Source organism: Homo sapiens, chromosome 2, assembly GCF_000001405.40.
Source record: "Homo sapiens chromosome 2, GRCh38.p14 Primary Assembly".
In the NCBI taxonomy this organism is placed as follows: Eukaryota; Metazoa; Chordata; class Mammalia; order Primates; family Hominidae; genus Homo; species Homo sapiens.
The window spans coordinates 208289990-208308430 of NC_000002.12; the positions used below are offsets into that span (position 1 = coordinate 208289990).

At 36.6% G+C, this 18441-nt stretch overlaps 1 protein-coding gene across 41 annotated transcripts in view; it reads left to right on the forward strand.

The window, feature by feature from the left end:
- Positions 1–18441, forward strand: part of PIKFYVE (phosphoinositide kinase, FYVE-type zinc finger containing) — a 92691-nt gene that overhangs the window by 23934 nt on the left and 50316 nt on the right. For 18 of the 41 annotated variants that reach the window (XR_007070607.1, XM_011510779.3, XM_047443667.1 and 15 more), the window contains 5 exons: positions 8652–8790; positions 10948–11105; positions 12253–12364; positions 14182–14329; positions 14857–15024. Coding sequence is in view for 40 of the 41 variants with exons in the window: in XM_011510779.3 (XP_011509081.1) it covers positions 8652–8790; positions 10948–11105; positions 12253–12364; positions 14182–14329; positions 14857–15024 (725 nt within the window). In the remaining variant the exon portion in view is untranslated. Of the gene's footprint in view, positions 1–8651; positions 8791–10947; positions 11106–12252; positions 12365–14181; positions 14330–14856; positions 15561–18441 lie in introns of those variants that run through there. The other 23 variants (XM_047443672.1, XM_011510783.4, XM_047443680.1 and 20 more) reach the window with 4 other exon arrangements.

Here is an 18441-nt window from a genome sequence, read left to right on the forward strand (position 1 = left end):
CATACAAAAAATGAGCAGAAAGTACAGAGAGTTCCCCTATAGCCCCTGTCCCCACACATGCACAATCTTCATGACTATCGGTGTCCTGCACTAGAGTGGCATATTGTATTCAGTGGACCTACTTTGACACATGATCATCGTCTAAAAGTTAATAGTTAACATTAGAATTCACTCTTGGTGTTGAATATTCTATGGATTTGGACAAATGTATAATGACGTGCGTCTGTCATTGTTGTATCCTACGGAATAGTTCCTCTGCCCAAAAAGTCTACTGGGCTTCTCCTATTTATCCCTTCCTCTCCCCAACCCATGACAATCATTAATCTTTTTTACTGTCTCCATAGTTTTACTTTTCCCAGAATGCCATATAGTTGGAATTATACAGTGTGTAGACTTTTCGGATAGGCTTCTTTCACCTACTAATACGCATTTAAGTTTTCTCTATGTCTTTCCATAGCTTGATAGCTCATTTCTAAGTGATGAATAATATCCCATTGGCTGGATACACTATAGTTTATCTACTCACCTACTGAAGGACATCTTGATTGCTTCTAAGTTTTATCAGTTACGAGCAAGGCTGTTATAACATCTGAGTATAGGTTTTTTTGTGGGTGTAATTTTCAATTCATATGGATAAATACCAAGGAGCATGATTGCTGAGTCCTATGGTAAGATTATGTTTAATTTTGTGAGGCACTGCTAGACTTTTTTCCAAAGTGGTTTTACCATTTTGCATTCCTACCAGCAATGAATGAGAGTTCCTGTTGTTTCACATCCTCATCACATTTGGTGTTGTCAGTTTTGGATTTTGGCAGTTTTAATGGGTGTGTAGTATTATCTCATGTGATTGACTTTTGTATATTAATCTTGTATCCTGCCACCTTGCTATAATCACTTACTAATTTCAGGAGTTCGTTAGTTCTTTTGGATTTTCTATATAAACAGTCTTGTCATCGAACAAAGTTTTGTTTCTTCCTTCCCAATCAGTGTACTTTTTATTTCCTTTTCCTGTCTTATTTCATTAGCTAAAACTTCTAGTCCAATGTTGAAAAGGAGTAGTGAGAGGGGACATCCTTTCCTTGTTCCTGATCTTAGTGGGAAAGCTTTGAGTTTCTCACCATTAAGTATGATGTTAGCTGTATGTTGTTTTTCGTAGATACTCTTTATCATGTTGGGGAAGTTTCCTCTATTCCTAGTTTACTGAGAGTTTTTATAATGAAGGAGTGTTGGATTTTGTCAAATGCTTTTTCTGTATCAATGACATGATTACATAATTATTCTTCTGTAACTTGATGTGATGGGTTATATTAATTGATTTTTGAATGTTGAACCAGCCTTGCATGCCTGGGATAAATTCCATTTGGTCGTGGTTTATATAGTTTTTTATACATTGTTGGATTGGATTTGTTACTGTTTTGTTGAGGATAATAGTGTATGGTTTCCTTTTCTTGTCATGTCTTTGTCTGGTTTTGGTATTAGGGAAATCCTGGCCTCACAGACTGAGTTAGAAAGTATTTCCTCTGATTCTATCTTCAGGAAAATTTTGTGGAGAATTGACATAATTTATTTCTTAAATGTTTGGTAGAATTCACCAGTGAATGCATCTGGGCCTGGTGCTTTCTGTTTTGGAAAGTTACCAGTTATTGATTCAATTTCTTTAAGAGAAATAGGTCTGTTTCGATTTTCATTTCTGATATTAGTACTTTGTGTTTTCTCCCTTTTTTTTCTCAGCCTGGCTGGATACTTACTGATTTTATTGATCTTTTCAAAGAACCAGCTTTGGCTTTGTTGATTTTCTCTATTGACTTCTTCTCTAATCTTTATTATTATTTTTCCTGTGCTCACTTTGGATTTAATATGCTTTTTGACAAACACTTTGTTCCCTAAGGTGGAAGCTTAGATGATTGATTTTAGATCTTCTTTTTAAATGTATGCGCTTCGTGCTATGAATTTCCTGCTAAGCACTGCTTTCTGTTGCATTCCACGAATTTAGTTAGGTTGTGTTTTCATTTTCATTTAGTTACAAATATTTAAAAATGTTTCTTTATATTCTTCTTTGACTCATGTATTTTTTTTTACAAGTGTGTTGTTTCATCTCCAAGGATTTTGGGATTTTGTAGCTGTCTTTCTGTTAATGATTTCTAGTTTGATTCCATGTTGGTTGTTGAAGGCAGACATTGTATGATTTCTACTCTTAAATTTTTTATGGTGTGTTTTATGGCCCAGAATGTGGTGTGTTTTGGTGAATGTTCCATGTTACTTGAGAGGAATGTGCATTCTGTTGTTGAATTAAACAGTCTATAAGATATTCATTATATCCACCTGATTAATGGTGTTGTTGAGTTCAGCTATGTTGTTATTGATTTTCTCTCTGCTGGATGTATCCATCTCTGATAGAGGGGTTAAAGTCTCCAGCTATAATAATGAATTCGTCCATTTCTCCTGTAGTTCTATCAGTTTTTGCCTCATATATTTTGGTACTCTGTTGTTAGGAGCGAGCATACATATTAAGGATTGTTCTGTCTTTTGGAATATTGATTTCTTTATCATTATGTAATTTCCCTTTTTATCTTTGATTGCTCTGAAGTCTGTTCTGCCTGAAAATTAATATAGTTACTCCTGCTCTTTTTTTTATTAGCGTTAACATGGTTTATCTTTCTCCATCTATTTCCTTTTGTTCATGTATCCTGTTTTGATTTCATTTAAAAATTTAAAAATTAATTTTTAAAATTGACACATAATAATTGTGCATATTTATGGGGTAAATAGTGACATTTTGACCCTTCACTTATTTTTTAATCTGTATGTGTCTTTGTATTTAAATTAGGTTTCTTGTAGACAATGTATTTTTGGGTCTTGGTTTTGATCCATTCTAACCATCTCTGTCTTTTAGTTGGTGTATTTAGACTATTGACATTTAAGGTGATTACTGATGTAGTTAGAGTAATCCCTGCCGTATTTGTTACTGTTTTCTACTTGTTGCCCTTGTTCTTCCTGTTTTTGTCTTCTGTACCTTTTCCACCTTTATGTATTTAATTGAGCATTTTATGTTATTCCATTTTCTCTCCTTTTTAAAGGATACGAGTTACATTCTTTTTTTTTTTTTAATGATTGCCCTAGAGTTTGCAATGTAACTTACAACTAATCCACATTTACTTTCAAATAATACTATACTACTTCACAGGTAATGCAAATACCTTATAACAAAATACTCCCAATTTTTCCCTCCCATCTGTTGTATTACTGGCATTCATTTCACTTACATATAAGCATGCGTACATACATAATTGAATATATTGTTGCTATTATTTTGAAGAAATAGTTATCTGTTACATCAACTAAGAGTAAGAAAAAGAAAAGTTTTTACTTTAACTTATTCCTTCTTTGATGCTTTTCTTTGTGTATTAATAGATGTAAGTTTCTGACCTATATCATATTCCTTCTCTCTGCCTTTTCAGCATTTTTTGCAAGGCAGGTCTACTGGCAAAAAATTCCCTCAGTTTTCATTTGTCTAAGAAAGGCTTTACTTCTCCTTCACTTTTGAAGGGTATCATCAGGGTACAGAATTGTAGGTTGATGGCTTTTTTCTCTCAACATCTTAAATATTTCATTTCATTCTTTTTGCTTGCGTGGCTTCTGAGGAGAAGTCAGATGTATTTATTATCTTTGATACTCTACAGGTAAGGTTTTTTTTTTTTTTTCTTTAAATAGAGATGGGGTCTTGCTGTGTTGCCCAGGCTGGTCTCAAACTCCTGGCCTCAAGCGATCCTCTTGCTTTGGCTTCCCAAAGTGCAGGGATTACAGGTGTGAGCCACCATGCTTGGTCTTTAAGGTGGTCTTTTTCAAGATCTTTTTCTTTATTTTTGACTTTCTGCCATTTGAATACACTTAGTTTTGCCTATGTGTAGTTTTTTTGACATTTATCCACGCTTGTGTTCTCTGAGCTTCCTGGACCTGTGGCTTGGCATCTGACATTAATTTGTGGGAAATTCTCAGTGATTATGGCTTCAAATATTGCTTGTGTTCCTTTCTCTCTTTCTTCTTTTTTCGGTATTCCCATTACATTTATATTATACCTTTTGTAGTTGTCCCACATTTCTTGGATATTGTTTGTTCAGTCTTTTTTCTATTTGCTTTTCAGTTTTGGCAGTTTCCGTTGAGATAGCCTCAAGTTCAAAGATTCTTTCCTTACCTCTGTCTAGTCTACTAAGAGTCCATCAAAGGCACTCTTCTTTAATGTTATGGTGTTTTTGATCTCTTGCATTTCCTTTTTGCTTCTTTCTTAGAATATCCATCTCTCTGCTTATATTATCTGTTCTTGCCTGTTGTTTACTTTTCGCATTAACACCCTTAGCATATTAATTATAGTTTAAAAACAATTCCTAGACTGATAATTCCCACATTCATGTTGAGCCTGTTTCGGATGCTTGTTCAGTGTCTTTGAACTGTGTTTTTTGGCTTTCATTATGCCTTGTGATTTTTTGTTGAAAGGTGGACATGCTGTACTGGGTAAAAGGAACTATGGTAAATAGGCCTTTAGTGATGTAGTGATAGGATGTAGGGGGAGGTTAAGTGGTCTCTAGTCCTGTGAATCACTGTCACAGGTGAGCCTGTGCCCCTGAACTGTAAACTTTATCAGGGCTTTTCGTTTTTTTCCCCTTAGGTGAGACAGAATGGCTGGAGGGGGCTGGAGTTGGGGATTTTTCTTCCCCCATGTGGAAGGCTAGAAGGGGCTGTGGTTGGGGATTTCCTTCTCCCTGGGTAGGTTAAGCTCTGATATAACTCCAGCAGGTTAGGCTCTGGTAAAATAGTTTCTCCTCAGGGCAGGACTTGTTATGAAGAACAGAATGCTCTGACGTATTTTTAAGTTCTTTATTCTCTCCCTCTGCTGGAAGCCAGAAGCCGGAGGGAATTTTTCTGACATTCACTGTGAGGACGTGGTAGATCTGGAAGTGAAACTCCCAAAAGCATCCCCACTACCCCCATGACTGGGTTCACCTAGAATTTGTATCTCTGGTTTGTCTACACTGAGCTTCAAGGAATTTGTCAATTTGATTTTAGGTTTTCCTACCCTATTACTGGTTCCCATGGAGGTTTCTGCTCCAGTGAGTTGTGATCCTCTGTATCTGCTTGTCTGTCTGCAGTATTTGGAGCAGGATTTGGCTTGTGACCTGACTTCTCTGATGGACCTAAGAACAGTTGATGATTTTTCTCTTTGTTCAGGTTTTAGTTGTTGAGATGGAGTGAAGATGCTCACGTGCTAGACCAGAAGTAGAAAGTTCTATTTTTTACTTTTGAATACTTAAGTGTTTTTCCTCAGAACAATCATGTTCTCTTACATAACAAATTTAGGAAATTGTAACAGTGGTACATTTCTATTATGTAATATACTGTAGGTATTCTGATTTTGCCAATTGTCCTAATAATGTTTTTTTGTACTGATTTTCCCCCCAATCTGTGATGCAGTTCAGAATCATATTGAACTTATTTGTCATATGTCTTGGTTTTCTTTACTCTGTAACAGTATCTTAGTCTTTCTTTGTGAAGAGGATAGACCAGTTGTTTAGTAAAATGCCCTTCAATTTAAGTTTATCAAAAGCTTCCTATGATTAGATTTGGGCTGTGGAGTTTTGGGGCAGTAATACTCCATGAGTGCTACATCCTTCTCAATCTGTTATGTTATAAAGGACACAATACAAGTTTATCCCATTGGTGTTGTTGAGTTGATCTCTCACATGTTAGGTTTCTCCACTGTAAAGTTACTATTTTATCCTTTGTAATTGGTAAGTAATATGTGGGGGAGATACTTTGAAACTGCATGAATACCCTATATCTTACTAATCTTTCAGTCAATAGTTTCAGCATTCATTTATGATACTTGTTGAAATGCAATGTTATTATGTTTGCAAAATGGTGATTTTTCTAAGTCTATCATTGCTTTTACACTTATTAGTTGACATTCTACTCTGAAAAGCTTTCCGTTGTTGGAGAGTTTTGGGTGGAGTGTGGAAGGATGACATGACATTTTTTTTTTTTAGACAGTCTCGCTTTGTTGCCCAGGCTGGAGTGCAGTGGCGCAATTTCACCTCATTGCAACCTCTGCCTCCTAGGTTCAAGCAATTCTTGTGCCTCAGTCTCCCGCTAGCCTGGGATTACAGGCACCTGCTAGCATGCCTGGCTAATTTTTGTATTTTTAATAGAGACAGAGTCTCACCATGTTGGCCAGGCTGGTCTCAAACTCCTGACCTCAGGTGATCCACCTGCCTCGGCCTCCCAAAGTGCTGGGATTATAGGTGTGAGCCACCACGCCTGGACGAAACAGACAAATTCTAAATATATTTTGATTGTAGAGCTAATAGGATTTGCTAATCAACTGGATGTAGGCTTCAACAGAAAGACATCAAAGGTGACTCAGGTCTTTGACCTGAGCAGTTGGAGGGGTGGAATTACCAACTGGGAGGAACAGTTTGGTTTTAGATGTGTTGAATTTGAGATATCTTCTAGACATCCAAGTGAGATGTCAAATAGTTGGATATATGAGTCCAGAATTTAGGGGAGGGCTACAGGCTAGAGATGTAAACTTGGATGTTGTCATCATGTGTATGGTATTTATGAACTTGGATGGAGATCATCAAGAGAATGAGTGTGAAAAGGGAGGAAATAAGGACTAAGGACTGAGATTGGAGAAATCAAGAGAAACCAGAAAAGGAGACGGGGAGAGGCCAGTGAGGGGACAGGGAAACCAGGAGGGTATTTATCTTATTAGTCAAGTGGAGAAAGTTTTTCAAGGAAAGGGAGTTATGCTGCTGATATGTTAAGTAAGATGAGGAGTGAAAACTGACTATTGGATTTAACAACAACATTGGTAATCTTGATAGGCAGTCTCAGTGGGTTGTTTGGGGTTTAAGAGATAATGGAAGAATTACTGGAGATGAGAGTTTTGCTGTAAAGTAGAGGGAAATGCAGCCGAGGGATGTGGAGTCAGGAGATGGCTTTTTAAAAAGATGGGGAAAATTACAGTATTCCTGTTGGCATGTGTAGAAGTGTAGGGATACCTGTGCTAATTTACAGTCTATCTCCATGTGTTTTGAATTAATGCTAAGACTGATGTAAGTCTTTAGGAAAGACGTAATTTAGTCAATGAATGCTGTCTCTAAATATAATTTTAATCAGTATTCTTGCTACTAGGCTATTTATTACAGCTTTTGACATTAAAATTGACTAATTTTCTTTTATTCTTGTTGCCACTATATTAGAATATGTGCAAGGATGGTTAAAATGATAGAGAAGTAGAATGTATGGATAATGCACCCATTGGAAAAGAGATTAAATTAAGAAATAATAGCAAGCTTTCACTGAAAGACTATGCCAAGAAATAAATAACCAATTATTTTTAAAAATTGCTTATCGGCTATTTGATATCAGTGATTTCCTGTTAACTGACACTTTGCTAAACCTGTGAATACTTTCTTAAATTATTTAAAAAATATTTTTATCTTTATACTGGGGAAATATTGGTTTTTCAATTGACACCTAATTCTAGGTGGCAGCCCTGATACATATTAGGCGAGCTACTTTAGGCAGATTACTTAATCCCTTATTCTTGATTTCTTTATCTGTAAAATAGAGCTAGTAATACATATTCCATAGGATGCTGTGAAGATTAAATGTGGGAAGATACAGATACTGCCCTAATGAATGAGTTACATATATGTAGTCTAACATATCATAGGTGCTTTTGCCTTTTATCCTTTATGTGGAGGCTAAAATTGGGTTTAATTTTTTTCTAGATAGAAGCCAACTAAATTTCTAGTTACCCTTTCTTTTAAATAAATTAAAGTTTCCTTGATGCTATTGGTATTCCACTTCTAAGTCATTTGTTTGGTAACTTTACCAAGAGTCAAAATTAAGGATATGTATGAATACTGATATTATGAGAAGAAACAAATTTCTTGTAATTTTTCTACTGACAAAATAGCATAATGTAATAATATTTGAGGACAATATTTTAAATATAGGTCTACTAGTGAGAAGAAAGGAATTCTTTTTTTGGTCATAACATTTTGCTTATTTGGGCGTCAAAATTGGTGTTCCCTTCATCAGATTGATTGCATTGCAGATATTTAACTATAAAACCTTCTTAGTTCATGGGCTATACAGAAAGAGGAAGAAGGCTAGATTTGGCCTGTGGGCCATAGTTTCCTGACTCTGATCTGCAAGATTATTTCTGCATTTAATTTCATTCTTTATATTTGTTATTAAAAAAAAAATCCACTAACTTACAGCATTTTAACAAGAAGACTTTGTATCTATTCCCTTTGAAATATTACTGATATATGAACTATGTAATTGTTTTCCTGTAATCTTTCCATAACTACTTTCTTTTAAACTTATTTCCAAGTAATTTTAGACACACATAGAATTGCAAAATATAGACTTACATAGGGTTGCAAATATCGTACAGAGAGTTTCTGGGTATCCTTTACCAAATTTCTCCCAATGATAATATCATGCATAACCATCATAAGTACTTTTAAAAGTACCCTTAACATTGGTAAATAAGCATTTATTTAAAAATGAATTTTCTCTGTAATTCTGTTTATTGAAGAAGAATTTACACCTGTGATTTCACTTCTTGTTTTTATTTCCAGATCAGCCAGCATTACTAACCTGTCACTGGATAGATCTGGTTCTCCTATGGTACCTTCATATGAGACATCTGTCAGTCCCCAGGCTAACCGAACATATGTTAGGACAGAGACCACTGAGGATGAACGCAAAATTCTTCTGGTACTGGTCCAGTATCTTTGACCCATTGCTAGTTTTGAGCATAGAGAATGTTCATGTGACTGAGTCTTTTTTTTTCTTTTTGAGACACGGTCTTGGTGTGCTGCCCAGGCTGGGGTGCAGTGGTGTGATCTTGGCTCCCTGCAACCTCTGCCTCTCAGATTCAAGCGATTCTGGTGCCTTAGTCTCCTGAGTAGCTGGGATTACAGGCGCATGCCACTACACCTAATTTTTTGTATTTTTAGTAGAGACATGGTTTCGCCCTGTTGGCTAGGCTGGTCTCAAACTCCTGACCTCAAGTGATCTGCCCGCCTTGGCTCCCAGAGTGCTGGGATTACAGGTGTGAGCCACTGCACCCAGCCTGTCACTGAGTCTTTTTAATAAGAAATATATAAGTGAAATAGCATATCAGTTAAACAGAAGTGCTTAGCTTCAGTTTTACTAGGATCACCTGAGAGATGGGTCAAGTATTCTATACTCATTGCATTAATATTTTCTTTTCTTTCTTTCTTTATTATTATTATTTTTTTTGGAGATGGAGTCTCGCTCTGTCACCAGGCTGGAGTGCAGTGGCGCAATCTCGGCTCACTGCAACCTCCGCCTCCCAGGTTCCAGCGATTCTCCTGCCTCAGCCTCCTGAGTAGCTGGGACTACAGGCATGTGCCACCACACTGAGCTAATTTTTGTATTTTTAGTAGAGACGGGGTTTCACAGTGTTGGTCAGGATGGTCTCAATCTCCTGACCTCGTGATCTCCCTGCCTTGGCCTCACAAAGTGCTGGGATTACAGGCGTGAGCCACCGCGCCTGGCCAGTATTTTCTTTACCCTTTTATCTGGTAAAATCAGAATTCAGTTACCTATGTAATAAGAGAGCTTAACTCTTAGATCCCATATTGCTATTTAAGCTTTGAAGCATGTTTGTTATACACATGTAACACTTTTCAGACATTTAATACTATATGTTTATATGAAATAATCAGTTGCTTATTGAATTTATCTGTGCATAAAATACTGTGTTCAATTCTAAGAGTGACTCAGAGAAATGGAAGGTATGGCTGTGTCCTCAAGCTTATAATTCAAAAGTAGAAATAAGAGCCAGGTGTGGTGGCATGCACGTGTAGTCCCAGCTACTTGGGAGGCTAGGGTGAGAGGACTCTTGAGGCCAGGGGTTTGAGGCTGTAGGGTGCTGTGATCATGGCTGTGAATAGCCACTGCACTCCAGCCTGGGCAACATAGCAAGACCTTGTCTCTAAGACAACAAACAAACCAGCAAACCCACAAAAGGTAGAAATAAGATCAGTGGGAAGATCCTTAATAGTGGAAGTAGTAATACTTTAATAATAAAAAAGTGTCAAATAAATAAATGACTATATGTCATGTAAGAATTCAAAAAAACAGAAAGCTCATTACTAATGAGGGAATCAGAAAAAGGCTTAAACTGAAGGACTTGAACTGGACCTTGAGAGATGGAATCATTTTGGATAGGCAGTGAGGAAGGTGAATCTTATTTAAAGGTGTGAAGAAAGATACAGAGGTAAGAATAAGCATGACATTTTCCATGGCCAGAAGTAGGATTTTTTAATTGGGAGAGAGTTTAAGTAGGAGTCTGGGGGCAATGAGAAAGGAAAGTTATTTGGGACTACCTGGTGGAAGGCAATGAATTCTGTACTTACAGGTGTAGATTTGAAACTTTAGTTGCTGAGGAACATTCAGAATTTTTTTGAGCAGGGAGTAATTTACTGAAGCTCTTCTTTTTAAAAAACTCATCTGTCAGTTGGGTACACAGTGAGAATCTGGTGGAGTGAAAGCCTCTAGGAACAGTTACCTTAGGTTAGTGTGATTAACTGTTGTCTCCCTCTGCCTTGCCCCATCTCCAAAGAAGAATACATAAATAGGAGATTGATAATATGTGCCATTGACTGAAAAAAGAAGTATTTGGAATAGTTGGTTTTCAAGAGAAAAAGTTATGTTTGGAATTAGATGAGCAGAGTTCAAGCTGTTCCCACGTATATGACATTTGTATTAAATTGTGTGAGTTAGCTACCATAAAGAAATCCAAGTTAGGTTTCCTTTTATGAGTCTAAAAATCACAGGAAAACATCTGAAAAGGTATATAGCATTTTTCTCAAGGGTAACTACTTGCTGTTAATGTGATTGCAGGACAGTGTGCAGTTAAAAGACCTGTGGAAAAAAATCTGCCATCACAGCAGTGGAATGGAGTTTCAGGATCACCGCTACTGGTTGAGAACGCATCCCAACTGCATTGTAGGAAAGGAATTAGTCAACTGGCTAATCCGAAATGGGCATATTGCCACAAGGTATTCTGATCTTAGAAGGTTTCAATATTATTTGTTTATTTTGAATGAGAAAACATATTTGAAGATAGTAAGAGTTACAGATTTCTTTGTAGAGTTAGGGTGCTCTTTGTTTTATGTAATTGATGGTTTAGGGTGCTAATTACTTAACCCTCCTCCAATCTGAGTTTTAACCAGCAGAGAACAGATGCAAGGAGTACAAGGAGCCAAATAGGATCTTAATTTACCTTATTAAAAGCAGAAGAACTCTCTAGCAAAGGAGGATTAGAGAAGGTAGCTGGAACCTAAGGCCAAAGAATTCCCCAGCTACTGTTCACTAATCTAGACAGGTTGTAACCTGTGTTGAGTATTTGATCCATAAGCTATGCCTGTCGGGTCCTAGCTTGCCTCACAAATCATTTATAAAAAAGAGTAACAGACAGGTCCTGCTTTTCAAATACATGTATCCCCTAGCTTTTACTATTTTCTCAGATTAGCTACTCCTCCTCTCATGGGAAGAAAAAGGTACGTAATGAAGTAAAGAGAGAAATAGCTTTAAGCAGTAAAGCCCTGGTTGCAATTTTGGCTGTATATATTTTTTAGCTTTGTGCTTTTAGTCACATTATTCAATCTCTGAGACTTCTTCACCATGAGGAAAATTGTGTGGTCCTGTGAATAAACTGTGGGGGATGAAATAATAGTGGCTGAAGTGCTTTATAAATTGTGAAATGCCATATAATGTATGGTGTCATTAAGTGTCTATTTCATATATATATATACACACACACACATTTTATGGCTGTATCTGTAATATTTGGTATTGTCTTATTAAAACTAAGCTCCTTGAAGGTAGGAGCTTTTCTCAACATTTTAAAATCTGTTAAGTATAGGGTTGTGCGTGCATTGAATACTCAGTCAATGCTTGCTGTTATTAAAATTAGGTTTTGTTGGGACTGCCTTACCAGTAGTTTCTTCTCCTTTACTATAGTACCTGGAAGAATCTTTTAGTTTGCTTTAACTCTCTCGTTTCGTCCTTTACTTATCCAAGGGCCATTTGAAATTCTAACTCTGATTAGAACTGAAAAAAAATATTTTAAGGTTGTGTCTTATCTGGTACTTAACTATTCTGACTGACTTTTAAAACTTTTCATTTTTGTGGGTCTTGATTCAGGGCACAAGCTATAGCAATTGGACAAGCAATGGTTGATGGACGTTGGCTGGATTGTGTTAGTCATCACGACCAGCTTTTCAGAGATGAGTATGCGCTGTATAGACCACTGCAGGTACTTTTCAGTGTTTACTGCCAATTAGAATGTAGCAAGCTTATTTTATAGTCTTTCTTCATCAGTGGGAATAAAAAGTAGTTTATTAGAAGATGATTTTTCTAACATTTTTTCCTGCTGTTTGAGGAAAGTTAAAACTTTTTTTACTTGGTAGGCAGCAGTGATGAAAAAGCTGCCATTAGAATCAAACATTTTATTGTTTACTTTAAATTTGATCAGACAATAAAAAAGGAAAAAGATAATCAAACACTTTTTTCAGTTGGTGTGGTAGTTCTTAAATTTGGGTTTATGGTCTTTATAGTTGCTTATCATTTAACTTTAATGGTTTTTGGTTTTATTAGGCCTATGCTTTTAGAACTGAGAGTATAAATAATAAAATGAAAAATTTTATGGCATCTATTGAAATCATTTTGACTCTAGAACTATTGTATAACTAGTGATGATGGCTGGGTACGGTGGCTCACGCTTGTAATCCCAGCACTTTGGGAGGCTGAGGTGGGTGCATCACCTGAGGTCAGGAGATCGAGACCATCCTGGCTAACATGGTGAAATCCCGTCTCTACTAAAAATACAAAAAAATTAGCCAGGCATGGTGGTGGACACCTGTGGTTCCAGCTACTTGGGAGGCTGAGACAGGAGAATGACGTGAACCTGGGAGGTGGAGCTTGCAGTGAGCCGAGATTGCGCCACTGCACTCCAGCCTGGGCGACAAAGCAAGGCTCCGTCTCAAAACAAACACAAACAAACGAAAAACAATGGTATACTGATGAATATATGTTTTTTTACTTTAGGGAAGTGGAAATTATTTGAAGATTTAACTTCAAAAAAAGATATACTTTCACTCTTGGTTTATGTAATTTGATACAATATATAGGTTATATATATACACACACACACATATATAAACATATATATACATATACACACACAGGCACACACACACACACATATATATATAGCTGACCGTTAAGAATTAGGGATACTGACCCCCTGTATAGTTGAAAATTCACGGATGTTTGACTTCCCCAAAACTTAACTACTAATAGCTTAGTGTTGACTGGAATCTTTATTGATAACAGACAATTAATACATATTTTGTATGTTGTGTGTATTATATACCATATTCTTACAATAAAGCTAGAGAAACATGAAGAAAATCATAAGGAAGAGAAACTATACTTACTATTCATTAAGTGGAAATGGATCATCACAAACGTCTTCATCCTCGTTTCGTGTTGAGTGGGCTGAGGAAGAGTGAGGAAAAGAAGAGATTGCTTTTGCTGTCTCAGGGGTAGCAGAGGCAGAAGAAAATCCACATATAAGTAGACCAATGCAGTTTAAACCCTTGTTCAAAGGTCAGCTGTGTAATGTTTAGTAACACCTTTGTGAACTAAAATTCGAAAGTCAATGGTTAGAAGAGACAAATGACTCCAAATATTGGTGTGGCATGATTGATTAAAAGTTATTTTGCAAGATGTGTTCTGGAGAGAATTGCCCCAGAGCTAAAATAAATTCTAAGCTATCTTCACTCTCAGGACTAAGGCATGAAATGAAACACTATAAAATCTGTATCAAAAAAATGTTTTGTTCTTAATATACTACTTAAGTCTTCTAGTTAACGAAAATCACAATTTTAAAGAGTGGAATTGTCAGTATGATTCTGGTTTATAACTTGGTTTTTGTTAATTTGTTTATTTTTATAAAATTCAATTGTTAGGTTCATAGAAATATTGGACTACAATTTATTTATAGTGTGACAGCCTCAACATTGTTGCCATTGAAGGCCAATTGCTTGGATCCTGTCTTCATCCTTTCAGAGTACAGAATTTTCTGAGACGCCTTCTCCCGACAGTGACTCAGTGAACTCCGTGGAAGGACACTCTGAGCCATCCTGGTTTAAAGACATAAAGTTTGATGACAGTGACACAGAACAGATAGCTGAAGAAGGTGACGATAATTTGGCTAGTGAGTTTAACTTTCTAACATTTTAGTTTTGATGGGTCATTGCTGTGTATGTATGATAAAATGATTATCTTGTTTGTTGAAATAATTCAGCTTTATAATTTATGGCTCCAACTAAATGGAAACATCTGATAGCAGTCTTTGTCTTAGATACAGTATTTTCTTAAACCAACTTGTTAGGTTGACATTTCTAGATTTTACCATAGTCTATAGTTTGTAGCAGCTTAAAAATAACTGAACTAATAATATGGCAGCAGACAACTTTCTCATCTCTTCACTATAATATCAGACTTTCTCTCTGCAGAACCTCCAATATATTTCTTCATTTTAAAAATTGATTTTATATTTAACTTGTTCAAATTTTATTAAGTCTACACAGAAGTACATGAAAATACTGTATCCATTTTGGTATTGCACATTGGGCTTGTATATTAAAAAAACATTTTTCTCCTTTCCTCCAATACCCTGATAAAACCCATTTTTACTCCCCTCCTCTCCCTATATTTCTTTCCCCTTCCCAACACTAAAAGATTCTGCCAGTCCTAGCAAGCGCACATCAGTCAGCAGTTTCCAGTCCACAGTGGACAGTGACTCAGCCGCTTCTATCAGCCTGAACGTGGAGCTGGACAACGTGAACTTCCATATCAAGAAGCCCTCCAAGTACCCACATGTGCCCCCTCACCCTGCTGACCAAAAAGGTAGGAGGTAGTCACCATCTGGAATCCAAACACAGGCTGGACAGCTGGGCCATAGGATCTCATGCCAGCCTGTCCTTCTGGCTTCCTCTGTCCCACGTGGCTGAGGGTATTTGGTGTGGGTTTTGTTCTACCCTTTCTCATTTCTCCCACACCTCCTCCCCATACCTTTTTTGGTTGATTCCTTTTATTTCTTGTTTTCTCCCTCAGCACCACCATGCCCAGTGTAAAGCTTGTAGTCTTTAAAAGGAACTACATCTGACTGCTCTTCCCATAATGTGCAACTTCCAAGGTGGCATTTCTTTGCATTTATAACATGGATGTTCTGCTCTATTCTTTTCTCTTTCTTCATTTAACATTTTAAAGCCTATTTGCCTTTGCCGTTACCCAGTAACATAATATTTCACTAAACCCATTAAGATGCTTGAACTAGATTGGGGGAAAATCATTCACACATTCCAAAATATCTCCATAATAATTCATAATGCTTATTATGTATATTCTATATTTATTAAAACAATTTCTTCTCTAATGTAAAATGAATTCATTATTTTTAGCTATCTTATTTGATGCTTTAGTCTACTGGCTGAAAAATAATAGTGACCATATTCAAAAGATATTTGGTGTAAAAGGAGAAAGAGGTAAACATTACTAAAATCTAACATAGCAGCACATAAGAAATGCCTGTTTTTAAAATGGATGATGAGGTTTACTTTATTGGGTATAATTAAAAGCCAATTTAAATTATAGTCCTATCATGGGATTGTGTAAAAGTGAATAAATAAAAAATACATGAGTAAATAAATAAATGTGGGATTTTGTTATGTTGTAATAACTGAAAAATCATTATTATAAAGATGAAGCACTTTATTCCATGATTTTACCTGGAGTTTGTATTTTAAACATATAACTGTCTAAAGTGGAATTGTCTCCTTACTTAGATCTGAAATGCTTGCCTAAGTTTTGCGCACTCTATTTCGAGCCTAAGAATATGATCAGAAAACAGAAGCTTTTGAACCAAACATTTATACTAAAATGATTTGATACAAGTTTATATTTCTCCAACAAATTTCTCATAGTTGTCAGTATTAGCTATTATCAAGATGTGGTAAAATGGTACTGAAGAGTTATAGTAATAAAAAGGAATATGTTATTTAAAAATAAGTAGAGAAGGTGTGTTAATGAGACTTGACTAGCATTGAACATGAGTAAGATAGACATCTTTATGGAAATCCTCAAAACAGAAATTGGAAAAATGATGGAGAATATTTGGGTGAGTATGAAAGGAGGGAAAAGCAGATATGACACTTGTGTGAGAATTAACTATAGATGGTGGTCACTTGGAGGATATTATGAAGGTTTTGAATATAAACTTACAGATGTGGGTCAGGGGCACACAGATGATGAACATCTGTTCTCTGGACACATCTGTTGGCAATCACATTTTGCTGTAAGCAGAATGTGAAGTATACTTTTGACTTGGTGATGATTTCATCTCTTGGAATGTTAAAGAAGTTTTGAAAATCTTGAAGAAAGTGACCTGTCATCATAGAATTTGTAATAGGGAAGGATAGACTGCTGAGCACAGTCAGATACTTACTTTTGAAAACCTAACTTGAGAACATTCGGAGTGGAATGGAACAGGAGGCTCCAAAAATGACATTGTTATGGTGCAACCCCAGATTGTATCTCCAAGGAAATTGACAGGAGAAGCACCTGCAGTTGACAAAAATATGACCCCTTTTGAACCTCCCTGATTTCAATCCTTTTTTTTTTTTTTTCTAAGAGACAGGGTCTGACTCTGTTGCCCAGGCTGGAGTGCAGTGGCGCGATCTTGGCTCACTGCAACCTCCGCCTCGTGGGTTCAAGTGATTCTCCCACCTCAGCCTCCTGAGTAGCTGGGATTACCAGTGCGCACCACCATGCCTGGCTAATTTTTTGTATTTTTAGTAAAGGTGGGGTTTTGCCATGTTGGCCAGGCTGGTCTTGAACTCCTGGCCCCAAGTGATTCACCTGCCTTAGCTTTCCTAAGTGCTGGGATTACAGGCATAAGCCACTGTGCCTGGCCCTCAATCCTTTAAAAAGATTATCTATCAAAGTTGTAAGTGGCAACTTTCGTAGGAGAATGAATCTGAAAGAGGGGGCAGCACTTTTAAGAAAAATGACAGTCTAATGGAAGTCCAGCTTGCCCTGAAGGTTGGAGAAAATGCCAAGGATATCTGAGAAAGATTTAAAGTTTGGTAGAAAGAAAAACTAGGCCAGTTATTTGGGAAAGTTTATGTAATATTGATTGATGACTAAAAGAAGGCTTCTTTTTCCTCCCCGCTCTTTAGACTAACTTTATCAGGAAAGAATACACATGGTTAAGAGGAAAGTGAAGTTCAGGATATTGAAGAGATAGAGAATTAATGGTTTTTTAAATAAGTCTGTTGCCAGGTTTAGGCAAACTGTATGCCAGGTTGTTGAAAGACTTTGGATCTGGGATCATGGAGCCAGAGTTTGTTATCTTTGAAGAGTTTCGAAGAGTAGGAGAGAGTCTAGATGACTATAGTGATAGATACATTTTTTTTTTTTTTTTAAAGATGGGTTCTTGATTTGACTTTGGAAGCTGGCAAAATGTAGAGAAGTGTAGTAAGCAGAATGTATTGTGGTATTTAGAAAAGGGATTGGTGGTGACTGGGCCACCAGCATTGGTTAAGCAAACTAAGTCGTTCCAAAACAACCCCATTTCCATTTTTTATGGTGATACAAGATTGATAAATCAGAAGACTATAATAGATACTATCTTTGTTGATGTTAATAAGACATTTAATGATCTCTCAATAATTTTGTAGACAAAGAGGACAATTTCGTACTTGAAATATGTTAAAAGAGGCAAAGGCAATGGTCATACTTGTTTAAAGCACAGGCTTTGGAGTCTGTATGAGCTTTATTTTTAAAATTGTAAATTGACAAATTATAATTGTATGTATTTATGGGATATAAAAAGATGTTACAAAGTATGTATAAAATATGGAATGATTAAGGAATAAGGATTTGAAATGATAGATATGTTTATTAAACCAAACTAATGAACATATTCATCATTTCAAATCCTTTTTGTTGGGGCAGGGTGCAGTGGCTCATGCCTGTAATCCCAGCAAGTTGGGTGGCTGAGGCAGGCGGATTGCTTGAGTCTAGGAGTTCAAGACCAGTTTAGGCAATGTGGCAAAACCCCGTCTCTACAAAAAATACAAAAAAATTAGCCGGGTGTGGTGGTGTGCGCCTGTGGTCCCAGCTATTTGGGAGGCTGAGGTGGGAGGATTGCTTGAGCTTGGCAGGTTGAGGCTGCAGTGAGCGATGATTTTGCCACTGCAGTCCAGCCTCGGTGACAGAGTGAGACTTTATCTAAAAAAAAAAAGAAAAAAAATTCCATATTAT